Below are 22,177 nucleotides of genomic sequence, written 5' to 3'. Positions count from 1 at the left end.
ACAAACTTCACATGTTCTCACTTACTTGTGAGAGCTAAAAATTAATACAATTAAACTCATGGAGACAAAGAGTAGAAGGATGGTTACCACAGGCTGGGAAGGGTAGTGGTGGGGTTAGGGGGGTGGATGGGAGGGAAGTGGGGAGGGCTAATGGATTAAAAAAAAAAGTTACAAAGCATGAATAAGACCTAATATTTGCTAGCACAACAGGGTGACTATAGTACAAAATAATTTAATTATACATTTTAAAGTAACTAAAAAGTATAACTGGATTGTCTGTAACACAAAGGATAAATGCTTGAGTTGGACACCCCACTTACCCTCATGTGATTATTATGCATTGCCTGCCTGTATCAAAACAAATGCAACCCATAAATATATACACCCACTATGTACCCACAAACATGAAAATTAAAAATTTATATATTTCGGGCTTAGCCACCACTATCTCAAGCACATCATGAAAACTAAAGGTAAACAGTAGCATGATGTTTTCAGGTTGCAAGCACTGGTTTCATAACAGGCTGTAAATTAATCCTAAAAGTCAGAACTTCTCTTTTTCAGTGGTTCTCAAACTTTGGTGTGCCTAAGGGTCGCCTGGGGAACCTGTTTAAAAATACAGACAGCGGCCAGGCACAGTGGCTCACACCTGTAATCCCAGCACTTTGGGAGGCTGAGGCGGGCGGATCATGAGGTCAAGATATCGAGACCATCCTGGCCAACATGGTGAAACCCTGTCTCTACTAAAAATACAAAAATTAGCTGGGCGTGGTGGCGCATGTCTGTAGTCCCAGCTACTCGGGAGGCTGAGGCAGGAGAATCACTTGAACCCGGGAGGCGGAGGTTGCAGTGAGCCAAGATCGCGCCACTGCACTCCAGCTTGGGCGACAGAGCAAGACTTTGTCTCGAAAAAAAAAAAAAGTGCAGACAGCAAGAGCTCACCTCTCAAGAGTCCTATTTAGTAGCTTCATCAGCAGTAAGCCTAACAATAATAAGAAACACAATATCAGGGCTGGGATTAGGGTGAGGCAAGCAAGGGACCCAGGGTACAAAACTTAAAGAAGTGCTTGCTCTCAGGTTTGTGCAAGTGCCAAGACAGTAAGTGCCTCCTCACACACTTCGTGGGGCATGTCACTTGACTCACTCTAGTCTTGGTCCTGCAAAGTATAGGGTAGTCCATGGACCATCAGCATCAGCATGGCCTGGGGACTTATTAAAAATGCAAAAGCCGTCTGGGCACCATAGCTCACCCTGTAATCCCACTTTGGGTGGTTGCTTGGGGACAGGATTTCAATACCAGCCCAGGTAATATGGCAAGACTCCCATCTCTGTAAAAAAATTTTTTTTAATTACCTGGGCATGGTGGCAGAAGTCTACAGTCCTATCTACTAAGAAGGCTGAGGCAGGAGCATCACTTCAGTCCATGAGTTTGAGGCTGCAGTGAGCCATGATCAGGCCACTGCACTCTAGCCTGAGTGACAGAGTGTGATACTGTCCAATAAATAAATAAATAAATAAATAAACGGGGCAAAATCTTGGCCTACCCCAGACCTACTGAATCAGAATTTGCATTTTATGCTGGGTGCTGTGGCTCATGTCTGTAATACCAGCATTCTAGAAGCCCAAGGCAGGTGGATCACCTGAGGTCAGGAGTTCAAGACCAGCCTGGCCAACATGGTGAAACCCCGTCTCTACTAAAAATAAAAAAAGAATTTGCATTTTAACAAGATTCTCAGGTTATTCCTGTTCACATTAAAGTCTGAGAAACAATGAATAGAAGGGATGCTCAAATTTAGTTCTGCAACTGAAACCAAAACCCTAAGCACTTTTTAACCTATCATGCTGCATTTCTAAAATAGGAAACAGTGAGTAATGGCTCTCCACTGGAGTCCAAAGGACAGCCCTACAATGGCCAATATTATTGTCACCCCTTGGTCAATGGCCTGGATAATGACATAAGAGATGCTTATTAACCTGCAGGTGGCACAAAAGAGGAGGCTGCTGAGGCAGGAAGGAGCAGAGTCAGACCATCCTGACCGGCTGGATGCCAGGTAAGCACATAACAAGTTTTACATTTAGGTTAAAAATTTCAGTAATGAAGGTATAAGATGTGTGTGGTGGTTTGCTTGGAAATAAAACATATGAAACACTCTAGGAATAAATCCAAAAGTGTGTCATGAATTTAATATAATGGCATTTCAAAACAGGAAAAAATGAGTAATTCAATAATGTTGGAGTAACTAGACAGCTAGCTGGAAAAAAATTAATTTGAACCCCTACCTCACATCTTATCTTAAAATAAATTCTAGATGCATAAAAGATTTAAGTACACACACACACACACAAACACAAACACACACACTCACACAAATCCATTTAAGTACTAGCAGAAAATATGGGTATTTTTTAAACAGCCTCAAGTGGACAAGGCCTTTCTAAGTATGAATAAACTCCAAACACATGAAGTCCAGAGGTCATTTTAAAAAAGATGGCTACATTTTATTACATTAAAGAAAAACTTCTGCACGGCAAACACCAATGTAAACAGAGCTTGGAGACAAATGACGAAATGGTGGGGGGGGGGGCAATTTGTGACTCATATCCAAGACATAGGGCTATTTTCAAAAATCCCCAAAAATCAAGAAGAAAAAAGCCCAACAAGCCAAGAGAAAAGTGGGCAATGCTGAGGCTGGAGAGCCTACGGAGGCCGGGCACTGTCCTCCAATAGCTGAAGACCACTTCTGTGGGAGTGAAAAAACTGAGTCATTCATTTCTACAAATGGTTAAATCAGGACTTAGGGTGGAAATTCCCATGAGTTAAGTTTTAGCCGAACATAGAGAACTTATTAATAATTCGGGCAGTCCATACAATGGAATGGGCCTGCTTAAAAAACTGCTGAATTCTTGTTCAGTGGAAGCACTCGGGCCAAGGCTAGATGAGGGTCAACTTGTATGAAGTTTTTTGGAAGGCATGAGATGGGAAACTAAACTGCACGATTACTGAGGGTGCTTAAAACCCTAAAATTATGCAATTCTATTCAAAGACTACATCCGCTCTGGAAAAGATAGGAGAATAAATCAAATAATGATGGGCTATCACAGCTCCATAAAGACTGAAAGCCATGGTGCTCATCACTCCTAGCTTTTTATTCTAAGTAGGGTGTTCTCTGGAGTGGGGATGTTAGAGGATATGAAGGTTTTGTTAAATCATAACTCCTGCACTCAGGAATATTTTGGTTTGTTTTGGTTTTTGGTGTGTGTGTGTGTGTGTGTGTGTGTGTGTGACAGTGGGATTGGGCAGTCCTGTTTCACATTCTTGGCGTGTGTGTGTGTGTGTGTGTGTGTTAGCGGGATTGGGCAGTCCTGTTTCACATTCCTCTCCTGGGCTCCCCAAACACTGAAAGCAACAGCACAATTTTGAAAGAGAGTGAATTAGTGCTGGAGGGTTGAGTGTGAGGTCTCAGCAGCATAGCCACATAACCCGTAGGACGTACTTACGTATCTACGTCATTTACGACAGTCCAATTATGAGCTAAAAGTCACAGACAAATCAGTAGCTCAATAATTCAACTGACAGGTGGACAGTGTTTCAGAAGCTAGTCTGGAAGGCACGTGGGCAGAATCTGAAACCACGTTAAGAGGAGCGCAGGAGGCTGGGTGTAGTGGCTCACGCCTGTAATCCCAGCACTTTGGGAGGCCAAGTGGGGTGGATCACTTGAGGTCAGGAGTTCGAGACCAGCCTGGCCAACATGGTGAAACCCCGTCTCTACTAAAAATACAAAAATTAGCCAGGCATGGTGGTAGGCACCTGTAATCCCAGCTACTCGGGAGGCTGAGACAGAAGAATTGCTTGAACCCAGGAGGTGGAGGTTGCACTGAGTTGAGATTGCACCACTGCACTCTAGCCTGGGTGACAGAGCAAGGCTCTGTCTCAAAAAAAAAAAAAAAGCGCAGGAGAGGAGGCCAGCAGGGATGAGGGCAGGCCTCAGGCAGCCATGGTACATGCTGAACCTGTGCACAGTGTGTCTGGGTGACAGTGCTGGCATGTTTTCCACACAGAAAATCGCTCTGTAATACTAGTAATTTATCAACTAAAGTTAAAATGAAGAACTTTCATTTATCTTGAGTTCTAAAGCTTAAGCCAAAGCAATTTTAGTTGGAGAAAGCTGAGGAGCTAACAAAAACCCATAAAGATTCTGAAGGGCGTGCCTTACCTATCTCAGAGCTCGTGAAGATGGCAACCATGAGTCCTTAGCGTGGCTTCTAATTTCTCTTCAAAATCAAGGGCTTCCTTTCTTTTTGATATGGACACACCACTAAGTACTCTTTAGCCATTACCAGGACAAGCTTTTAGTTCAAAATATAATGAAAAGAATGAGTGGTGAGAAGAAATAAGATTTTTTTTTTTGAGATGGAGTCTATCTCTATTGCCCAGGCTGGAGTGCAGCGATGTGACCTCAGCTCACTGCAACCTCCACATCCCGGGTTCAAGCCATCCTCCTGCCTCAGACTCCCAAGTAGCTGGAGTAGCACCACACCTGGCTAATTTTTGTATTTTTAGTAGAGACAGGGTTTCACCATGATGGCCAGGCTGGTCTCGAACTCCTGACCTCAGGTGATCCACCTACCTCAGCCTCCCAAAATGCTGGGATTACAGGCGTGAGCCACTGCACTTGGCTGAAATAAGATATTTTTGAGGTAAGAGAGCAATAAATAAGGAAGAAACAAGAAACCCAAAGAGGAGATAAGAAGGATTATCTCCGGCATAATTATCTAAGATTCAAGACAGAATAAAAGTGAGTAATTGCTGGGGAGTGAAGGGAATCCCCAGTGATAGTGAGAAAAAGATGACACCGTGACCAAGTTTCTACACTGGCCATCAGGGGGCACCATCGGTCAGAACAACGCCCTGGCGCCAGGGTACAGGGAGCCCTACCCAACTGGACTTCCATATGTACAGGCTGCTCCCACTTTGGGAACACATACTAAACTATAAGCCATTGGAAATGCTTTTACAGCCAGATTAAGAGAGAAAAAAAAATACATCAAAAACAAACACAAACCCATCTGTCCCTATATTTGTACATCCAAATCAGAAATGGCAACGATACGTAGCGTGTCATTTGGATCCTAGAAGTAGGGAGGGCCAGAGAAAGCTGAAGAAATTTCATCACCTAGCCAGGTGTAGTGGCAGGCACCTGTAGGTCCCAGCTACTAGGGAGGCTGAGGCACAAGAATCACTTGAACCTGGGAGGCAGAGGTTGCAGTGAGCCGAGCGAGATTGCTCCACTGCACTCCAGCTTGGGGGACAGAGCGAGACTCCGTCTCAAAAAAAAAAAAAAAAAAAAAAAAAGAAAAAGAAAAAGAAAAAGAAATTTAATCACCGAGTCCCTGTTACTGAAACTCAGCCGGCCTCACAACAGTCGAGGGCAGCAGCACAGTGGGGCAGTGGACTCCGCACAAGGGGATGGTGGGGAATTACGCTAATGGGGATTTCAGGGAGCACAGAGAGGAACCTGGAACAATGACAATGTGATCAATGCCTCAGGAATAGGCATTTCATGCTTATGTTAGAGCTAGGTTCTCATATCTTTAAGAAATTAGAATAAACATGGGGTATATATCACAGGCATCTGAAGAAGGAAGTCAACAACTTGCCCAGTATCACACTTAGCCAGGACAAGTATCTGTCTGGCTTGCTAATCCAGTTTCTTTCCATTAGATATTTTTATAAATAATTAAATTTGTGATGGGAAAAAAAAGAAGAAAGCATTGCTTTAAGGTACATTTAACAAAAAAGTCTGGCTGGGCGCAGTGGCTCACACCTGTAATCCCAGCACTTTGGGGGGTTGAGATAGGAGGATCGCTTGAGGCCAGAAGTTTCAGACCAGTCTGACCGACAGATGTGGAACTCCATCTCTACAAAAAAATTGAAAAGTTAGCTGGGTGTAGTGGTGTGTGCCTATAGTTCCTGCTACCCTGGAGGACAGCTTGAACACAGGAATCGGAGGCTGCAGTGAGCTATGATAGCGCCACCCCAGCCTGGGCATGGTCTTCAGACTCAGACCTGCTGGCAGGCAAAAATCTTTCAATGACATCTCTGGATCTACATCAGGTTATAAACCACGGACATTATCAGCTGTTCCAGTGACCTGCATCGAGGTTGGCAAGATCCTTTGCCCCAAGCATCTGTGCACAGTGATGCCTCCAGCAGCCACTAGTGAAGCCAAGGAGCAGAACATAGGAAAAAAACTCAGCTCCTCCATCTGGCAGCATATGGCTAGCCAGACCTAGTGCTCTATCTTGCAAAACTAGCTATAAAGCTGAGGTGAGAGTCTTTAATGAATAAATGCAACAAATAAACTCTGCAAAGCAGAGTAATAATGGCTATACGAAGACAGGTGACACGGGTTAGAGTAGCAGCAGGAGGCCATAAAGTGCCCAGGACAGATTCCAGAAATTTTCTGGAGTCAGAATGTATAGAACTTGCTGATAGATTGCACACACAGAGCATGAAAAAGAAGCAAAGATGACTCCGGGGTTTTTGGCTTGAGCAACAGGGTGGAAGGCAGCACCATTTACAGTCGGCCCTCTGTACCCACAGGTTCCATATCCATGGATCAAAAATATTTAGGAAAAAAGCCAGGTGCCATGGCTCACTTCTGTAATCCCAGCACTTTGGGAGGCCAAGGCAGGGAGATCACTTGAGGTCACGAGTTCGAGACCAGCCTGGCCAACATGGTGAAACTCCGTCTCTACTAAAAATACAAAATTAGCTGGGCGTGGTGGCATGTGCCTGTAATCCCAGCTAATCAGCAGACTAAGGCATGAGAATTGCTTGAACCTGGGAGGCGGAGGTTGCAGTGAGCAGAGATCCCACCACTGCACTCTAGCCTGGGCAAGAGAGTAAAACTCCATCTCAAGAAGTATGTACCTATATGTATATTTAGGGGGAAAAAAAGGCTGGTTGCATCTATACTGAACATGTACAGACTTTTTTTTTCTTGTTTATTCCCTAAATAATACAGTATAACAACAATTTACATAGCATTTACATTGTATTAACTATTATAAGTATTCAAGAGATTAAAGTACGAGGGAGGATGTGTGTAGGTTATATGCAAATACAGTGTCACTATATAAGGAACTTAAGCATCTGTGGATTTTGGTATCTGTATTAATCCGTTTTCACACTGCTATAAAGATACTACATGAGACTGGGTAATTTATAAAGGAAAGGGTTTTAATTGACTCGCAGTTCCACAAGGTAGGGGAGGCCTCAGGAAACTCACAATCATCGTGAAGGGGAAGCAAGCATGGACTGTCTCACATGGTGGCAGGAGACAGAGGTGTGTGAGAGCGCAGGAAAAAAGCACCATTTATAAAACCATCAGATCTTGTGAGAATTCATTCACTGTCACAAGAACAGCATGGAAGAAACCGCCCCCATAATCCAGTCACTTGCCATCAGGTTCCTCCCTTAACACTCAGGGATTACAATTCAAGATGAGATTTGAGTGGGGACACACAGCTAACCTATATCAGTATCCATTGTGGAGGGCTGCTCGTGGAACCAATCCCCCAGAGATACCAAGGGACAAGTGTACTTAGATGAATAAAGATTGGGAGAGGAACAGATTTTTTTTTTTTAATGAGGAAGGGATAAAATAAGTTTTAGCAATGCTAAGTTTGAGATATCTGTTAGATATTTAGGTGGGGCTATCAGGTAGACAGTGAGTATACAAATTTAGAGATCAGAGAAAAAATCAAACTGGAGATGTAAATTTGAGACACATATAAACCTAATTAGAAGAAAATACAGGATAATGCCTTTTTTTTTTACATAGAGATGGAGTCTTGCTATGTTGCCCAGGCTGGTCTCGAACTCCTGGCTTCAAGCAATCCTTCCACCTTGGCCTCCCAAAGTGCTGGGATTACAGTCATGAGCCACCACGCCTGGCCCAGAAAAGATTTCTTAAGTAAGACATCAAAAAGCACAAATCTTTATAAATGGAAAAACCAAAGGAAATGTCTAAATTAAAACAAAAGATTTCTGCTGAATAAAGGACACCACAAACAAAGTTAGCAGGTAGATGAGGGACAGAAGAAGACATCTGAAACATTTATAACTGCCTTAGGATTAATAGCTACAATATATAAGAAACTCTACTGGAAAAATGGGAAAATGATATGACCAGGTCATTCATAAAAGGAAAATCCAAAGACTACCCAGTATATACAGAAATCTAGCCATGCTCATTAGTAATCAGAGAAATGTGAGTTTAAAAAGATATTAATAACATGTGAAACCTGCCAAACTCACAAAAGTTTTAAAGTCAAATACTAAGGACTGCACTTAGTAGTGGAAATACAAATTAAGCAATCATGCATTACTTAGTGAAATTAAATATGATTATACTCTGTGACCCAACAATGATACTTGTTGGTATTTAGCCAGAGAAACTCTTGTACAAGTTCGTAAGAAGACATATATGAGGATCTTCTTATTAATTTATTTAGTTTTATCTTTTTTTTTGAGACAGTCTCACTCTGTTGCCCAGGCTGGAGTGCAGTGGTGGCACAATCAAGGCTCACTGCAGCCTGAACGTCCTGGGCTCAAGCGATCCTCCCACCCCAGTCTCTCAAGTAGCTGGGACCACAGGCACATGCCACTGTGCTCAACTAAGTTTTTAATTTCTGGCAGAGATGAGGTTTTTGTCACATTGCCCGGGTTGGTCTCGAACTCCTGGGCTCAAGCGATCCTTCTGCCTCAGCCTCCCCAAAGTTCTGAGACTATAAGTGTGAGCCACTATACCCACAGAGCATTGTTTGTGGTACAGGGAGAACAAATAAGGTGTCTGTCACTTAGGGGAACAGGCAAATAAAACGCAGTAGACAGAGCAATAAAAATACAATGCAGTGGCTAAAAGCACCATATAAACACAACACCAACAGAACTGAAAAACATAGTTTTAAATGAAGAAAGGATCAGAATGAGAATTATCATGTAATACTATTTATATAAATTTACAGAAAACACCATGTAAGAATACATATATATCCAAGGATACATATTAAACACATCAGAGAAGATGCTAATGGGAGTGGGATGGGAATGGGAGAAGAGATACAAAGTGACAACAGAAAACAATAAAAACATCAGGGACCCTTGCAATGTCAATATAATGGTATTGTAAAAATAACACATTTTTAATTGGAAGAAAAAGTAACAAATTCAAAGGGGCAGAAGGAAGTTTCCTTCTGCTTCAACTCTCCTTTCCAAACTGTTTGACATTTGGTTCATTTGACTTACCAGGTAAGGAAGGGGGCTAGAGGGGAGGGAGGGAGGAGGCCAACATGTATAAATGCGGCCTACTATATTGCATCTTGCACCCACTTTGACCATGGCATTTGTCATGCTGCTGAAATTATACATATACACAGCTATCTTCTCACCCTGAAAGTTACATCCTTAAGGGCAGGACTGTATCATATTCATCCTCATGCACCCAAAACCCAACTCGGGGGATGGTGCAAAGAATACATTCAATAAATGCTGACTGGCTGACTGGTTGGTTGGTTGGTAGACTGGATGGAAAATAAATCAAAATTATAATCCAGCTGAATTGTTTTCAGCTCAGGTGTACCCTTAGTGCTTGACTATTATAATGTAGCCAATTGAATGTTTAAAGAATTATCATAAATGGGTAGATGTCCTCCTAACATCATTTATTCTAGCATAAAAATGCATGTCCTTTTGGATGGCAGACACATGGACAAACATCACAAAATTCAAGCTGACTCTACAGCTGCAAGGAGAAATTAGAGACACTACTGCAAAATCAGAAATATGAACGATAAAGTTAACTTGAGGTGAAGGGAAAAATAAAGATGCAGCACAAGCCAGGTAATCCCTGCTGCCTGGCAGTGCTGGGTGCCTCACACTTCTGACACTACTGATTCCACACTATGTGTATAATACACAAAAACCCTTCTTACTGGCCAAGCACAGTGGCTCACACCATTATCCCAACACTTTGGGAGGCTGAGGGTGGATCACTTGAGCCCAGGAGTTCGAGACCAGCCTGGGCAATATAGTTAGGCCCCGTCTCTATTTTAATAATAATAATAATAATAATAATAATAATAATATTTTTTAAACCCTTTTTTTTTTTTGATATGGAGTCTTGCTCTGTCACCCAGCCTGGAGTGCAGTGGTGCGATCTCAGCTCACTGCCACCTCCACCTTCCAGGTACAAGTGATTCTCCTGCCTCAACTTCCTAAGTAGCTGGGATTACAAGTGCGCGCCACCACACCTGGCTAATTGTTGTATTTTCAGTAGAGACAGGGTTTCACCATCTTGGTCAGGCTGGTTTTGAACTCCTGACTTCAGGTGATCTGTCCACCTCGGCCTCCCCAAGTGCTGGGATTACAGGCATGAGCCACCACACCTGGCCCCTTCTTACTAACTTTAATCAATTTTTAAATTGACATTACAGTATAATTTACATACAATAAAATACACACATTTAAATGAACAGTTTGATTAGTTTAAATGTACGTACCCATGAAATCACCATCATAGCCAAGACGCAGATCATTCCCATCACCCCAAAAGATCCCTTGTGCCCCTCTGCAGCCACGCCACCCCTTTACCCAGGCTCCAGGCAACCACTACTCCGTCTTTTGTCAAGATATCTCACTCACATTTTTTTTTTTTTTTGAGATGGAGTCCGGCTCTGTTGCCCAGGATGGAGTACAGTGGCACGATCTCGGCTCACTGCAACCTCCGCCTCACGGGTTCAAGTGATTCTCCTGCCTCAGCCTCTTAAGTAGCTGAGATTACAGGCGCATGTCACTACGCCTGGCTAATTTTTGTAATTTTAGTACAGACAGGGTTTCCCCATGTTGGCCAGGCTGGTCTCGAACTCCTAACCTCAGGTGATCCACCCTCCTCAGCCTCCCAAAGTGCTGGGATTACAGGCATGAGCCACTGTGCCCAGCCCTCACTCACTTGTTAAATTTTAAAATTTAATTCTAAAATTTTCAAACATATACACAGTAGAACAGTAGAATGAGCCTAGTTTGCCCAACACCCAGCTTCAACGATGTTTAATGCATAACCAGTCCTGTGTCAGTGATTCTCCCACCTACTCCCTTGCCTGGGCTATTCTGAAGCAAATCACAGACAGCATTTCTTTTCATATGTAAATATTTCAATATGTATGTCTCTTTAAAGGATATTCTTTTAAAATGTATCCACAATTTTCACACTTAACTAACAAATTTTTTAAATTTAATTATTTGTTGTCAATATTCAATATAAGATAAATTTCCTCTTGTCTTTTTTGGTTTGTTTTATAAAATAAACTTCTTAATACCATTAATACCATCAAATAATCAGTCAGTGTCCACATTTCCCAGATTGCCTCACATTTTCTTCATTTTGTCTGAATCAATCATATATGACTATTGGTTCATTCATCTCTTCAATCTCTTTTTATCTATAGAGGCTTTTTTCTCACCTTTTCCCCTTATGATTTATTTGTTGAAAAAACTGTTCTGTTTATCCTATAATGCAGTTTGGAATTTGCTGATTCTATCCCCAAAAAGCCATTTACAATGTTTCTCCATCCCTCGTATTTCCTATAAATACACAGTAAGATCTAGGCGTTTTATCAAACTCGGGGTCTACTTTAGCAGCAAGGCTGCTTCACAGGTGGTGGTGTGCACACATACCAGGACATACATACAATGTCCCATATGCCTTTTTCTGTCTCACTTTTTGAAAAATACCATCTTTTCCCTCAAGTAACTAAAAACAAAAGCATTTATTGTAGAGTATTAGGACGATTTAATCTAGAAAAGTGTCACAGGACATCAACTCCCATTTAACAGACTGATTCTGGCCTACAGTGTTCCTACAAAGAGACAAGCAGTCCTTGAGCCGCTGTCTGAAATACACACAGTTCTGCCCACCACACTATGTCTGTCGCTTATTTTAAGTTACACACTGAACGTACCCTGATGCACTTGTCTTTGTGTGCATGTCTTGCTCCCCAGTTACACAGAGAAGAAGCCTTCTTACACCTCTTCAACATCTCCCATGAGCACCCTGCACACAGACAGCACGTATGAGTGAGGAGGACCAGGCGGTTCTCTGCTAAGGGGAGGCTCTTGATGCAGTCGGGCCCACTGGTTCTTCTCCACTTTCCTCCAGAGTCAGGATCCTTTCCACTTCCCCAACCGGAAAACAGAGGCACAGAGAAGAAACAGGAACGGTGAAGCAGGGGAAGGTTGCACTAAGAACTCAAAATTCACCGGGGGTTCAGAAAACCTGTTGACGTAAATGTGTTTCTACTTGAATGCCTCCTCCTTCCCTTCGGGGAGACATGTGAGTCTCAACACTGAGTCTTTGAGAGAAGGGACTACAGACATTGTGTAGACAGGAACCAGAGGGCCTTCCCGTTCTCCTTGTCAGGACAAGTCCCTGCTTGACAGCTAAATAATTACTAAGAGAACAAGAATCAGTTAGAGAGAACCCATGATGAGCTTGGGATGGGAAAGAAAAGAAAGTCGTTTACATCCTAACCTCACTGCAGGCCTGCAAAGACGTGGCATGCAGGGAAGTTGGAGTCATAGGCAGAAAAGGCCTCCCCTTCTTCCTGCTTTGATGAAAAGCTCCTCCACCCGCAGCAGTGTTGCACTAATAGCGACGAGGCCCTTGCTGCCAGTCACCTCCCACTCTTCTCTCTGCTTGGCTGGCTCTTTACTGCCTCCAGAAATAAAAGCTAGAATATGATACTTATTATGCTAATAATCACTCCCTAGTAAACATAAGTTCCAGAAGCACAAGCCTCTGCTTACAAACAGCATAACTGCCAATGCAAAAGGACATCACTTCTCCCTCATCCCCACCCCCACCTAGGACAAGTGCAGATTAAATTAACAATTCTCAAAATTCCCAATGGTGTCAAAAGCATTTAAAGTTGCTGGGTCAAAGATTCACTTTTGCAGCAGACAACCACAAAGGATTTCAGTGTTACATACAGTGGAAATGATTGCAAGAAATTCTAAATAGGGACAGACCAGTAATTTAAATTCATTTTCTAATGGCTAACACTTATTTTTTGTTTGTTTCCCAGTTCAATAGCTGATTCTAAGTCAGGTTCCAATTAAGGAAAACAAGACCCAGTTTTCTGGTTCCACTGGGATTTACTTGTTCAGGGATTACCTGTCTGCCAGTTGTGAACCTGTTGTGACTAACACAAGCGTGTTTCAGAACAAGGAAACACCCTGATTACTGGAAGTCAAGGGCAAAGTAAAGCCCAAAACAAGGAACTCTCACTTTCCGTCTGGTGTGTTCCCCAGCAGGCCACTGCCTCTGTCTCTAACCAGAGATTACTGTATACAACTATGAAACCACTGGTGATAGAAATCAGAAAATAGAGCATGAGAAGCAAAATCCCACTAGTAATGTCGAACACTAACACATAAAGTGGACTACTGAAGCAAATACCTAAAAGCTAAGTATTAGAGTTGCCCACATTTTTTTTTTTTTTTTTTTGAGGCAGAGTCTTGCTCTGTCACCCAGGCTAGAGTGCAATGGTACAATCTCGGCTCACTGTAACCTCTGCTCCCTGGACTCAAGCAATTCTCCTGCCTCAGCCTCCCGAGTAGCTGGGATTACAGGCATGCGCCGCCATGCATGACTAATTTTTGTATTTTTAGTAGAGACGAGGTTTCACCATGTTGGCCAGGCTGGTCTTGAACTCCCGACCTCAAGTAATCTGCCTGCCTCGGCCTCCCAAAGTGCTGGGATTACAGGCATGAGCCACCATGCCCGGCCTGCCCAGATATTTTAAACAGGACTGATTTTCTTCAATTACTTGAATACCTGAATTATCCCAGTTTTCTATTTTATTTTATCTACACAGGCATAGTTAGACACTGGTTAGAGTAAGACTAGAGGCAAAAGACACCCCTGGTTACTCTACTTGAATCTGTGAGTAATGTGTATTTTCATACACTTTGAATTATTTAACATGACTTAGCTCTCTGACCCTGGAAAATCACTCTGAATCCAGAACATCTTCAAAATAGAGGATGGAATAAAATTGCTTCTAAGATCCTTTTGACTTACTTGGTTTATATCTTCTTTACTATGGGATCAAATCCCATTAAACAGCAAGTCAGTGGCTCAAAATATTTCAAATACTAGAACTTCATTGTAGCAAATGATGCTAAAAGTAGAAATTTAATTGCAATAAGATTTGGTCTACGCATTAATTGATGTGGTACTTTAATTTTTTATTTCCGTAGGTTTTTGAGATTTTGGTGCACCCAACACCCAAGCAGTATACACTGTACCCAATTTGCAGTATTTTATCCCTCACCTGCCTCCTGCCCTTTCACCCGAGTCCCCAAAGTCCATTGTATCATTCTTATGCCTCTGCATCCTCATAGCTTAGCCCCTAGATGCTGTATTTTTAAAAAGAATTTATTGTTCACCAATGTTCATAGCAGCATTATTCACAATGGACAAAAGGTGGAAGCCACCCAAATGTTCATCAATAAAGAGACAGACATGGAAAGAAACAGTTCCTCCTCCTCAATGGGATGTTCTGGTGTCTCCCTGTGGCACCTGGAACTGCGACAGGCCACCTGAGACCATGGGGAGCCAGCGGGCAAGCCTGTACTGAGGATGACAAAGCAGGAGGGCAAAATGAACTTGGCTCCTTGATGCCTTTGCCAGGCTGCTCAGTTAACCAGCACTGGACTCACCCTTGCCCCAGACTTTTGTTTTCTGAAATGATAAACATCTGTGTGTTTAAGTCATTGAGCTGGCTTTTCTGTTTCTTGAAGGTGAAAGCATTCTAACTGATGACACACACTGACCTAAGATGTCTGACACACCATGAGACTTATGCAGTAATGAAAGGCAGAGTTTGATCTCCATAATTAACAAACTCACTGAAAGGCAAAATACACCGTTCTTGTCATTAAAATGCAAGAAAGGCTTCAGAGCAGGTAAAGAACAAGGTTAAAGTGCAGTAAGCAGATCCATACATTTAGCCATTCAATACATAAACGTGGACCCAGAAGTTATCCTGAATGAACCAATTATGCCCCACTTCAGAAATATTAGAAGATGATGACTTAAAATACTGTCTTTATGATCACAACAACCCTAACTATATAACTCTAGGTTATATTATTCCCATTTTATAGATGAAGACACTGAAGCAGAGAAGAAGCTGAGTAACTTGCCCAAAGCCATTATGTCCACAGTTTTCTCTGCCTGGAACTCTTCCTTCTCTTCACTTAGCTAATTCCCACACATCCTTCAGGTTTCAACTTAAGCAATCACTCCTTAGGAAAAAGGCTTCTTTTATGTGTTCAGACAAGGTCCAGAGCTCCTATTATGCTCCACTGCACTCCTGTTCTATGGCAGCATTTTGCACACTTGAGATTAAATATTTGTCTTCCCACTAGAATGCCCATGGCCTGAAACAGTTCCGTCTTTTTTACAACTAGACGGTATTGCCAAAGCTGCGCAGAATGCCTGCCCTTGACAGTCTCACAGTCTGATAGCGAGACAGCAAGTAAACAGTTCCTTGGAGATATTGTGGCTTTAGTTCCAGACCACTGCAATAACGCAAGTGACATGAAATTATTTATTTCCCGGTGCATATAAAAGTTATGTTTACACTATACAGTAGTCTATCAACTGTGCAATAGCATTGTCTTAAAAAAAAAAAAAGTATATACTTTAATTTAAAAATGGGCTGGGTGCGGTGGCTCACGCCTGTAATCCCAGCACTTTGGGAGGCTGAGGTGGGTGGATCACGAGGTCAGGAGATCGAGATCATCCTGGCTAACACGGTGAAACCCCACCTCTACTAAAAACAACAAAAATTAGCCGGGCGCGGTGGCAGGTGCCTATAGTCCCAGCTACTTGGGAGGCTGAGGCAGGAGAATGGCATGAACCCGGTAGGTGGAGCTTGCAGTGAGCCGAGATCACGCCACAGCACTCTAGCCTGGGCGACAGAGCGAAACTCTGTCCCAAAAAAATAAATAAATAAATAAAATAAAAAAATAAAAATGGCTTATTGAGCCAGGCGTGGTGGCTCACGCCTATAATCCCAGCATTTTGGGAGGCCGAGGCAGGTGGATCACCTTAGGTCAGGAGTTCAAGACTAGCCTGGCCAACATGGCAAAACCCTGTCTCTACTAAAAATACAAAAATTAGCTGGACATGGTGGCACGTGCCTATAATCCTAGCTACTTGGGAGGCTGAGACAGGAGAATTGCTTGAACCCAGAAGGCGGAGGTTGCAGTGAGCCAAGACCATGCTACTGCACTCTAGCCCGGGCAACCAAGCAAGACTCCGTCTCATTAAAAAAAAAAAAAAAAAGCTAACAATTTTCTGAGCCCTCTGCAAGTTGCAATCTTTCTCCTGGTGGAGGGTCTTGCCTCAATGTTGATGGCTGCTGACTGATCAGGATGGTGACTGCTAAAGGTTGGGGTATCTGTGACAATTTCTTAAAATAAGACAATGAAGTTTGTCACACTGACTCTTCCTTTCATTAAAGATTTCTCTAAAGTATGCAATACATTTGATAGCATGCTACCCACAGCAGAATTTCTCGCAAAATTGGATTCAGTTCTCTCAAACCTTACTGCTGCTTTATCACTAAGTTTATGTAATACATAGTTATTGTTATAAATTATTGTAATACATTATCATTTCAACAGTGTTCACAGCATCTTTACCAGGAGTAGGTCCCATCTCAAGAAACCACTTTCTCTGCTCATCCACAAGAAACATCTGTTCAAATTTTATCTCGAGATTACAGCAATTCAGTCATATCCTCAGACCCCACTTCTAATTCTAGTTCTCTTGCCATTTCCCCCACTTTTGCAGTTATTTCCTCCACTGAAGTCGTGAGCACCTTGAAATCATCCATGAGTCGAAATCGACTTCTTTCAAACTCCTGTTGATGTTGATACTTTGACCTCCTCCCATGAACCACAAATGTTCTTAATGGCATCTAAAATGGTGAATCCCTTCCAGAAGGTTTTAAATTTACTTTGCCCAGATCCATGAAAGGAATCACTACCTATGGCAGCTATAACCTTACAAAATGTTTCTTAACTAATAACACTTGAAAACTGAAAATATTCCTTTATCCATGGGCTGCTGCATGGATGTTGTGGTTAACAGGCATGAAAACAACATTAATTTCTTTGTACATCTCCATCTGAATTTTGGGTGACCAGGTGCACTGTCAATGAGCAGTAATATTTTGAAAAGAATCTTTTCTTCTGAGCAGGTCTCAACAGTGGGCTTAAATATTCAGTAAACCATGCTCTAAATAGATATGCTGTCATCCAGGCTTTTTTGTTCCATTTATAGAGCACAGGCAGAGTAGATTGAGCATAATTTTTAAGGGCTCTAGAATTTTCAGAATAGTCAATGAGCATTGGCTTCAACTTAAAGTCACCAGCTGCATTCACCCCTAACAAGAGAGTCAGCCTGTCCTCTGAAATGTTGAAGCCAGACACTAACTTCTCCTCTCTAGCTATGAAAGTCCTAGATGGCATCTTCTTCCAACAGAACACTCTTTCATCTCCACTGAAAATCTGTTGTTTAGTGTAGCCACCTTCATTTCATCATCTAGCCACCTTAGCTATATCTTCTGGATTACTTGCTACAGCTTCTGCATCAGCACTTGCTGCTTCACCCTGCATTTTTATGTTGCTTTTTTACTTAAAACTCATGAACCAACCTCTGCTAGCTTCAAACTTTTCTCCTGCAGCTTCCTCACCTCTCTGAGCCTTCATAAAATTGAAGAGAGTCAGGATCTTGCACTGAATCAAGCTTAGGCTTAAGGGAATGTTGTGGCTGGTTTGATCTTCTGTCCAGATCACTGAAACTTTCTCCACATCAGCAATAAGGTTGTTTTGCTTTCTTAGCATTCCGGAGTTCACTGGAGTAGCACTTTTAATTTCCTTCAGGAACTTTTCTTTTACATTCACAACTTAGTTAACTGCTGCAAGACGCCTGGTTTTTAGCCTGTCTTGGCTTTCAATATGCCTGGTTTTTAGCCTGTCTTGGCTTTCAATATTCCTTCCTTACTAAGCTTAATCATTCCTAGCTTTTGATTTAAAGTGAGAGACACGTAACTCTTCCTTTCACTTGAACATTTAAAAGCCATTGTAGGGTTATTAATTGACCTAATTTCAATACTGTATCTCATGAAATAGGGAGGCCTGAGGAGAGGAAGAGAGATGGGGGAATGGCCAGTCAGTGGGGCAGTCAGAGCACATGCCAACATTATCAATTACGTCTAACGTCTCGCACGGATGCGGTTCATGGCACCCCAAAACAATCACGACAGCAGCATCAAAGACCACTGATCACCGTAACCAACACAATAATAAAAAAATTTTAAATACTGCAAGAATTACCAAAATGTGACACAGAGATACAAAGTAAGCACATGCTATTAGAAAAACAGTGCCGACAGACTTACTCAACGTAGGGTTGCCACAAATCTTCAATCTGTAAAAAATGCAGCATCTGTGAAGCACAAGAAAGTGAAGCACAATAAAAGGAGGAGGTAGGGCCCGCACACAGTGGGAAGCAGAGAGAGGCGTGCACAGGCCCTGTGGAAGCACAGGGCTGGGGCAAGGGGGACTTCATGAAGACGTCCCTTGAACTGGGCTCTGAAGGATAAGTAAGTTAGGAGAACAGGGAAGTGAGGAGTTCTAGCAGACAGAGGATAGGTATGTGTCCAGAGAGTAGGAGGCCATGAAACTTTAGAGTGGCACTACTTAGGTACCATGCTAAGCATTTCACATGGGTAATTTCATTTAATCTTCACAGCAAGTATTATTATCATTCCCAGGAGGAAATGGAAGGCCAAGATCATACACAGCTAGTAAGTAAATGGCAAAGCCAGGCTTTGAACCACAGCTATATTATATGGCTCCAAAGCGTATGCCCTTAACCACAATCTAATACATGTCTAGCTTCCTATGCATTGATATGATCTCATATAATTGCATGTAATTCAAATAATGTTGATTCTAGTAGAAAAGCTGGCTTTTAAAGGAACGTCATATCTCTTTCATTAAGCAAATCCTAAATCCAGCTATTTCACAAATTGAGTTTGATTAAAATGAAGTATATAATTAGTATTCAGGCTGGGTCCAGTGGCTCACGCCTGTAACCCTAGCACTTTGGGAGGCCAAGACAGGTGGATCACTTGAGGTCAGGAGTTCAAGAACAGCCTGGCCAATAATGGTGAAACCCCATCTCTACTAAAAATACAAAAATTAGCCGAGAGTGGTGGCACACAGGGGGCAGAGGTTGCAGTGAGCCGAGATCGTGCCACTGCACTCCAGCCTGGGCAACAGAGCGAGACTCTGTCTCAAAAAAAAAAAAAAAAAGAGTTCACAGACATAATTTTCACAGTTATAGTAGATTAAATACCTATTAGTGCCAAGAGTTTTAAGAATATGATCTCAGTCCATTCTCATGAGGTCATTCTTACAGCCACATTTTCAGATGAGCTAACAAAGGCACACAGCATTTAGATAAGCTGCTCAAGGTCTCCTGGGCAGAAAGGGACAGAACCAGGATTCACACTGAGGTCACTCCTTCCACCATGCAGCAATGTCTCTACTGAGCTGAACGGTGCCTAGAGATGATCTAGTGTAATCCCCAAACAATCCTACCATTTAGAGACCTGCAGGGAGGTTAAAGGACAGTTCTGACGTCCTTCAGCTAACAGCACACCAGGAGTGGATCCCGCATTTCCTGTTCTCCAGGCAAGCATGTTCTATAATCATTCTGACTCACACCAGATACCCTATTTTTGAGAGATATTAAAATATTCCCATAACTAAATTCAAAACAGACAAAACAAGAATGAGGCAAATGCCTGTGCCTGTGCACTGAGATCCGCCTGAATTATCCTTTGGTGGGAGATAGGAAAAGAGATGTCTCAAATATATCCTGTGTACTACTTGCAATCAGCTAACAGAAGACAACAGGATTTCATGCATTCCTTTTGACTACCATCATTTTTTCAACCTCCTGCCTTTCAGTAGGGCAGTTAAAGCATTAAACAGGAGCCAGCAAGCTTTCTCTGTAAAGGGCTTAACATTTCTGGCCTAGCAGGCCATAAGGTCTCTGATGCAACTGTTCAATTCTACCGTTGTAGGGAGAAAGCAGCCACAGACCATATACAAACGAATGAGCATGGCTGTGTTCCAGTGAGGTTTACAGACAGAAATTTGAATTTCATATAATTTTCACATGTCACAAAATATTACTACTCTTTTGATGTTTTTCAGCTATAGTACTTAGAAAGGTATGTCTTATGGGCTACACAAAAACAGGTCGTGGGCCACAGAGTCTGGTGATCCTGCATTAAACCAAAGAAGTATTAACGCTACCGGTCAGAAGAGAGCAGAGGACAAGCAGGGAGTAGGGGGCCTCTCCCTTGTCCATCTGGTGCCACTGGTTCAGGAAGCCTTCTTGGGCCACCCCCACTCCCACTCAGCTCAGGCATCCCACTTCTGTGTTTTCCCTGACACTTGTGCCTACCTTTATCTTAGCACTTACTATAACATGTTGTGGTTGATTATTCAATTGTCTATATCTCCCCAGTCACAAGGGCAAGCAATGTTTTTTAGTTTCTGTATTCCTAGCTGACACAGATGCTCAAAAAAATATTTGGGAAGGGAGAGAAGGAAATAACGAGAAAATAAGCTCAGAATATCTTTTTTTCTTTTTCTTTCTTTTTTTTTTTTTTTTTTTTTTTGTAGACATGGGGTTTCGCCATGTTGCCTAAGCCCAGGCTGGTCTTAAACTCCTGAGCTCAGGTGATTGGTCCACTTCAGCCTCCCAAAGTGCTGGGATTACAGGCGTGAGCTACCACGCCTGGCCTAGAAAATATCCTTTTTATTTATTTATATTTTAGAGACAAGATCTCACTCTGTCACTCAGGCTGGAGTACAGTGGCACAATCATGGCTCACTGCAGCCTTGACTTCCCAGGCTCAAGTGATCCTCCCACCTCAGCCTCCCAAGGAGCTGGGACTACCAGTGCACACAACCACATCTGGCTGATATTTTCATTTTTTGCAGAGACAAGGTCTCCTTATGTTGCCTAGGGTGGTCTTGAGCTCCTGGGCTCAAGCAATCCTACTGCCTCAGCCTCCCAAAGTGCCCGGATTATAGGCATGAGCCACAGCGCCCGGCCCCTGGCTGGAAATTCTTATCTTTATACAGACACTAGGTAGCAGCTCAAGGTCTTGATAGTGGCTCAATGGCATACACATAACAGGTTAAATCAGTGGTTCACCTGTGTGTAGCATCTGTTAACCATCTATGCTGTTTATGTTCCATAAATATGCACCAACCCCTTAGTCTATTCTCTTTACTTATACCTACCTCAAAGCCAGGCATCTGATTACTTGTTTAGACTAACGTAGATGAATAATCCAAACATACGTTTAAAATGACCCCCACATGTGCCAAAAAGGCTTCAGGGTACCCTGGGGTTCTACAGAACACAAATGGAAAAAACATCCTACAAACACTAGTCTCAAAAGTGAATGACAGCTTCAAATAATTTAAAGCCACAATTACCAGATATAATAGGGAGATATGTGGAAAGTCTACCGCATCATTATCACATAAAGCATCAAAGAGGAAACAAACATCTTTTTTTTTTCTTTTTTTTTGAGATGGCATTTCACTCTTGTTGCCCAGGCTGGAGTGCAATGGCGCAATCTCGGCTCACTGCAACCTCACCTCCTGGGTTCAAGCAATTCTCCTGCCTCAGCCTCCCAAGTAGCTGGAATTACAGGCATGCGCCACTATGCCCAGCTAATTTTGTATTTTTAGTAGAGATGGGGTTTCTCCATGTTGGTCAGGCTGGTCGCGAACTCCCGACCTCAGGTGATCCGCCTGCCTCGGCCTCCCAAAGTGCTGGGATTACAGGCATGGGCCACCACGCCCGGCCATAACAAACATCTTTTAATCACATGTTGAGGGCTGGTCTTGTAACTCTAATGAGGGGTCCTTAACCTTTTCTTTTTCTTTCTTTTCTCTCTTTTTTTTTTTTTTGAGATGGAGTTTTCCTCTTATTGCCCAGTC

The 22,177-nt window shown here is 42.5% G+C and overlaps 1 protein-coding gene across 3 annotated transcripts in view, besides 7 other annotated features; it reads right to left on the bottom strand.

Moving 5' to 3' along the window:
• Positions 1-22,177, bottom strand: part of PACS1 (phosphofurin acidic cluster sorting protein 1) — a 174,473-nt gene that overhangs the window by 105,137 nt on the left and 47,159 nt on the right. The gene's annotated exons all lie outside the window — the stretch shown is intronic.
• Positions 539-698: a silencer, noted in NCBI's record as "silent region_3580". NCBI's record gives its function as "represses an Ori minimal core promoter by ATAC-STARR-seq in GM12878 lymphoblastoid cells {active_cell/tissue: GM12878}" and the evidence as "EXISTENCE:reporter gene assay evidence [ECO:0000049][PMID:35858748]".
• Positions 3,703-3,752: a silencer, noted in NCBI's record as "silent region_3579". NCBI's record gives its function as "represses an Ori minimal core promoter by ATAC-STARR-seq in GM12878 lymphoblastoid cells {active_cell/tissue: GM12878}" and the evidence as "EXISTENCE:reporter gene assay evidence [ECO:0000049][PMID:35858748]".
• Positions 11,607-12,266: an enhancer, noted in NCBI's record as "H3K27ac-H3K4me1 hESC enhancer chr11:65894813-65895472 (GRCh37/hg19 assembly coordinates)". NCBI's record gives its function as "activates a minimal SCP1, AML or CMV promoter by ChIP-STARR-seq in naive H9 embryonic stem cells {active_cell/tissue: H9 hESC(naive)}" and the evidence as "EXISTENCE:reporter gene assay evidence [ECO:0000049][PMID:30033119]".
• Positions 12,097-12,156: a silencer, noted in NCBI's record as "silent region_3578". NCBI's record gives its function as "represses an Ori minimal core promoter by ATAC-STARR-seq in GM12878 lymphoblastoid cells {active_cell/tissue: GM12878}" and the evidence as "EXISTENCE:reporter gene assay evidence [ECO:0000049][PMID:35858748]".
• Positions 12,516-12,810: an enhancer, noted in NCBI's record as "tiled region #6316; HepG2 Activating non-DNase unmatched - State 16:ElonW". NCBI's record gives its function as "activates a minimal TATA promoter and a strong SV40 promoter by Sharpr-MPRA in HepG2 cells {active_cell/tissue: HepG2}" and the evidence as "EXISTENCE:reporter gene assay evidence [ECO:0000049][PMID:27701403]".
• Positions 12,516-12,816: a biological region, named in NCBI's record as "Sharpr-MPRA regulatory region 6316".
• Positions 12,757-12,816: an enhancer, noted in NCBI's record as "active region_5035". NCBI's record gives its function as "activates an Ori minimal core promoter by ATAC-STARR-seq in GM12878 lymphoblastoid cells {active_cell/tissue: GM12878}" and the evidence as "EXISTENCE:reporter gene assay evidence [ECO:0000049][PMID:35858748]".

This window comes from Homo sapiens, chromosome 11 (assembly GCF_000001405.40).
Source record: "Homo sapiens chromosome 11, GRCh38.p14 Primary Assembly".
Lineage (NCBI taxonomy): Eukaryota > Metazoa > Chordata > Mammalia > Primates > Hominidae > Homo > Homo sapiens.
This window is presented reverse-complemented; position numbering and strand designations above follow the sequence as displayed.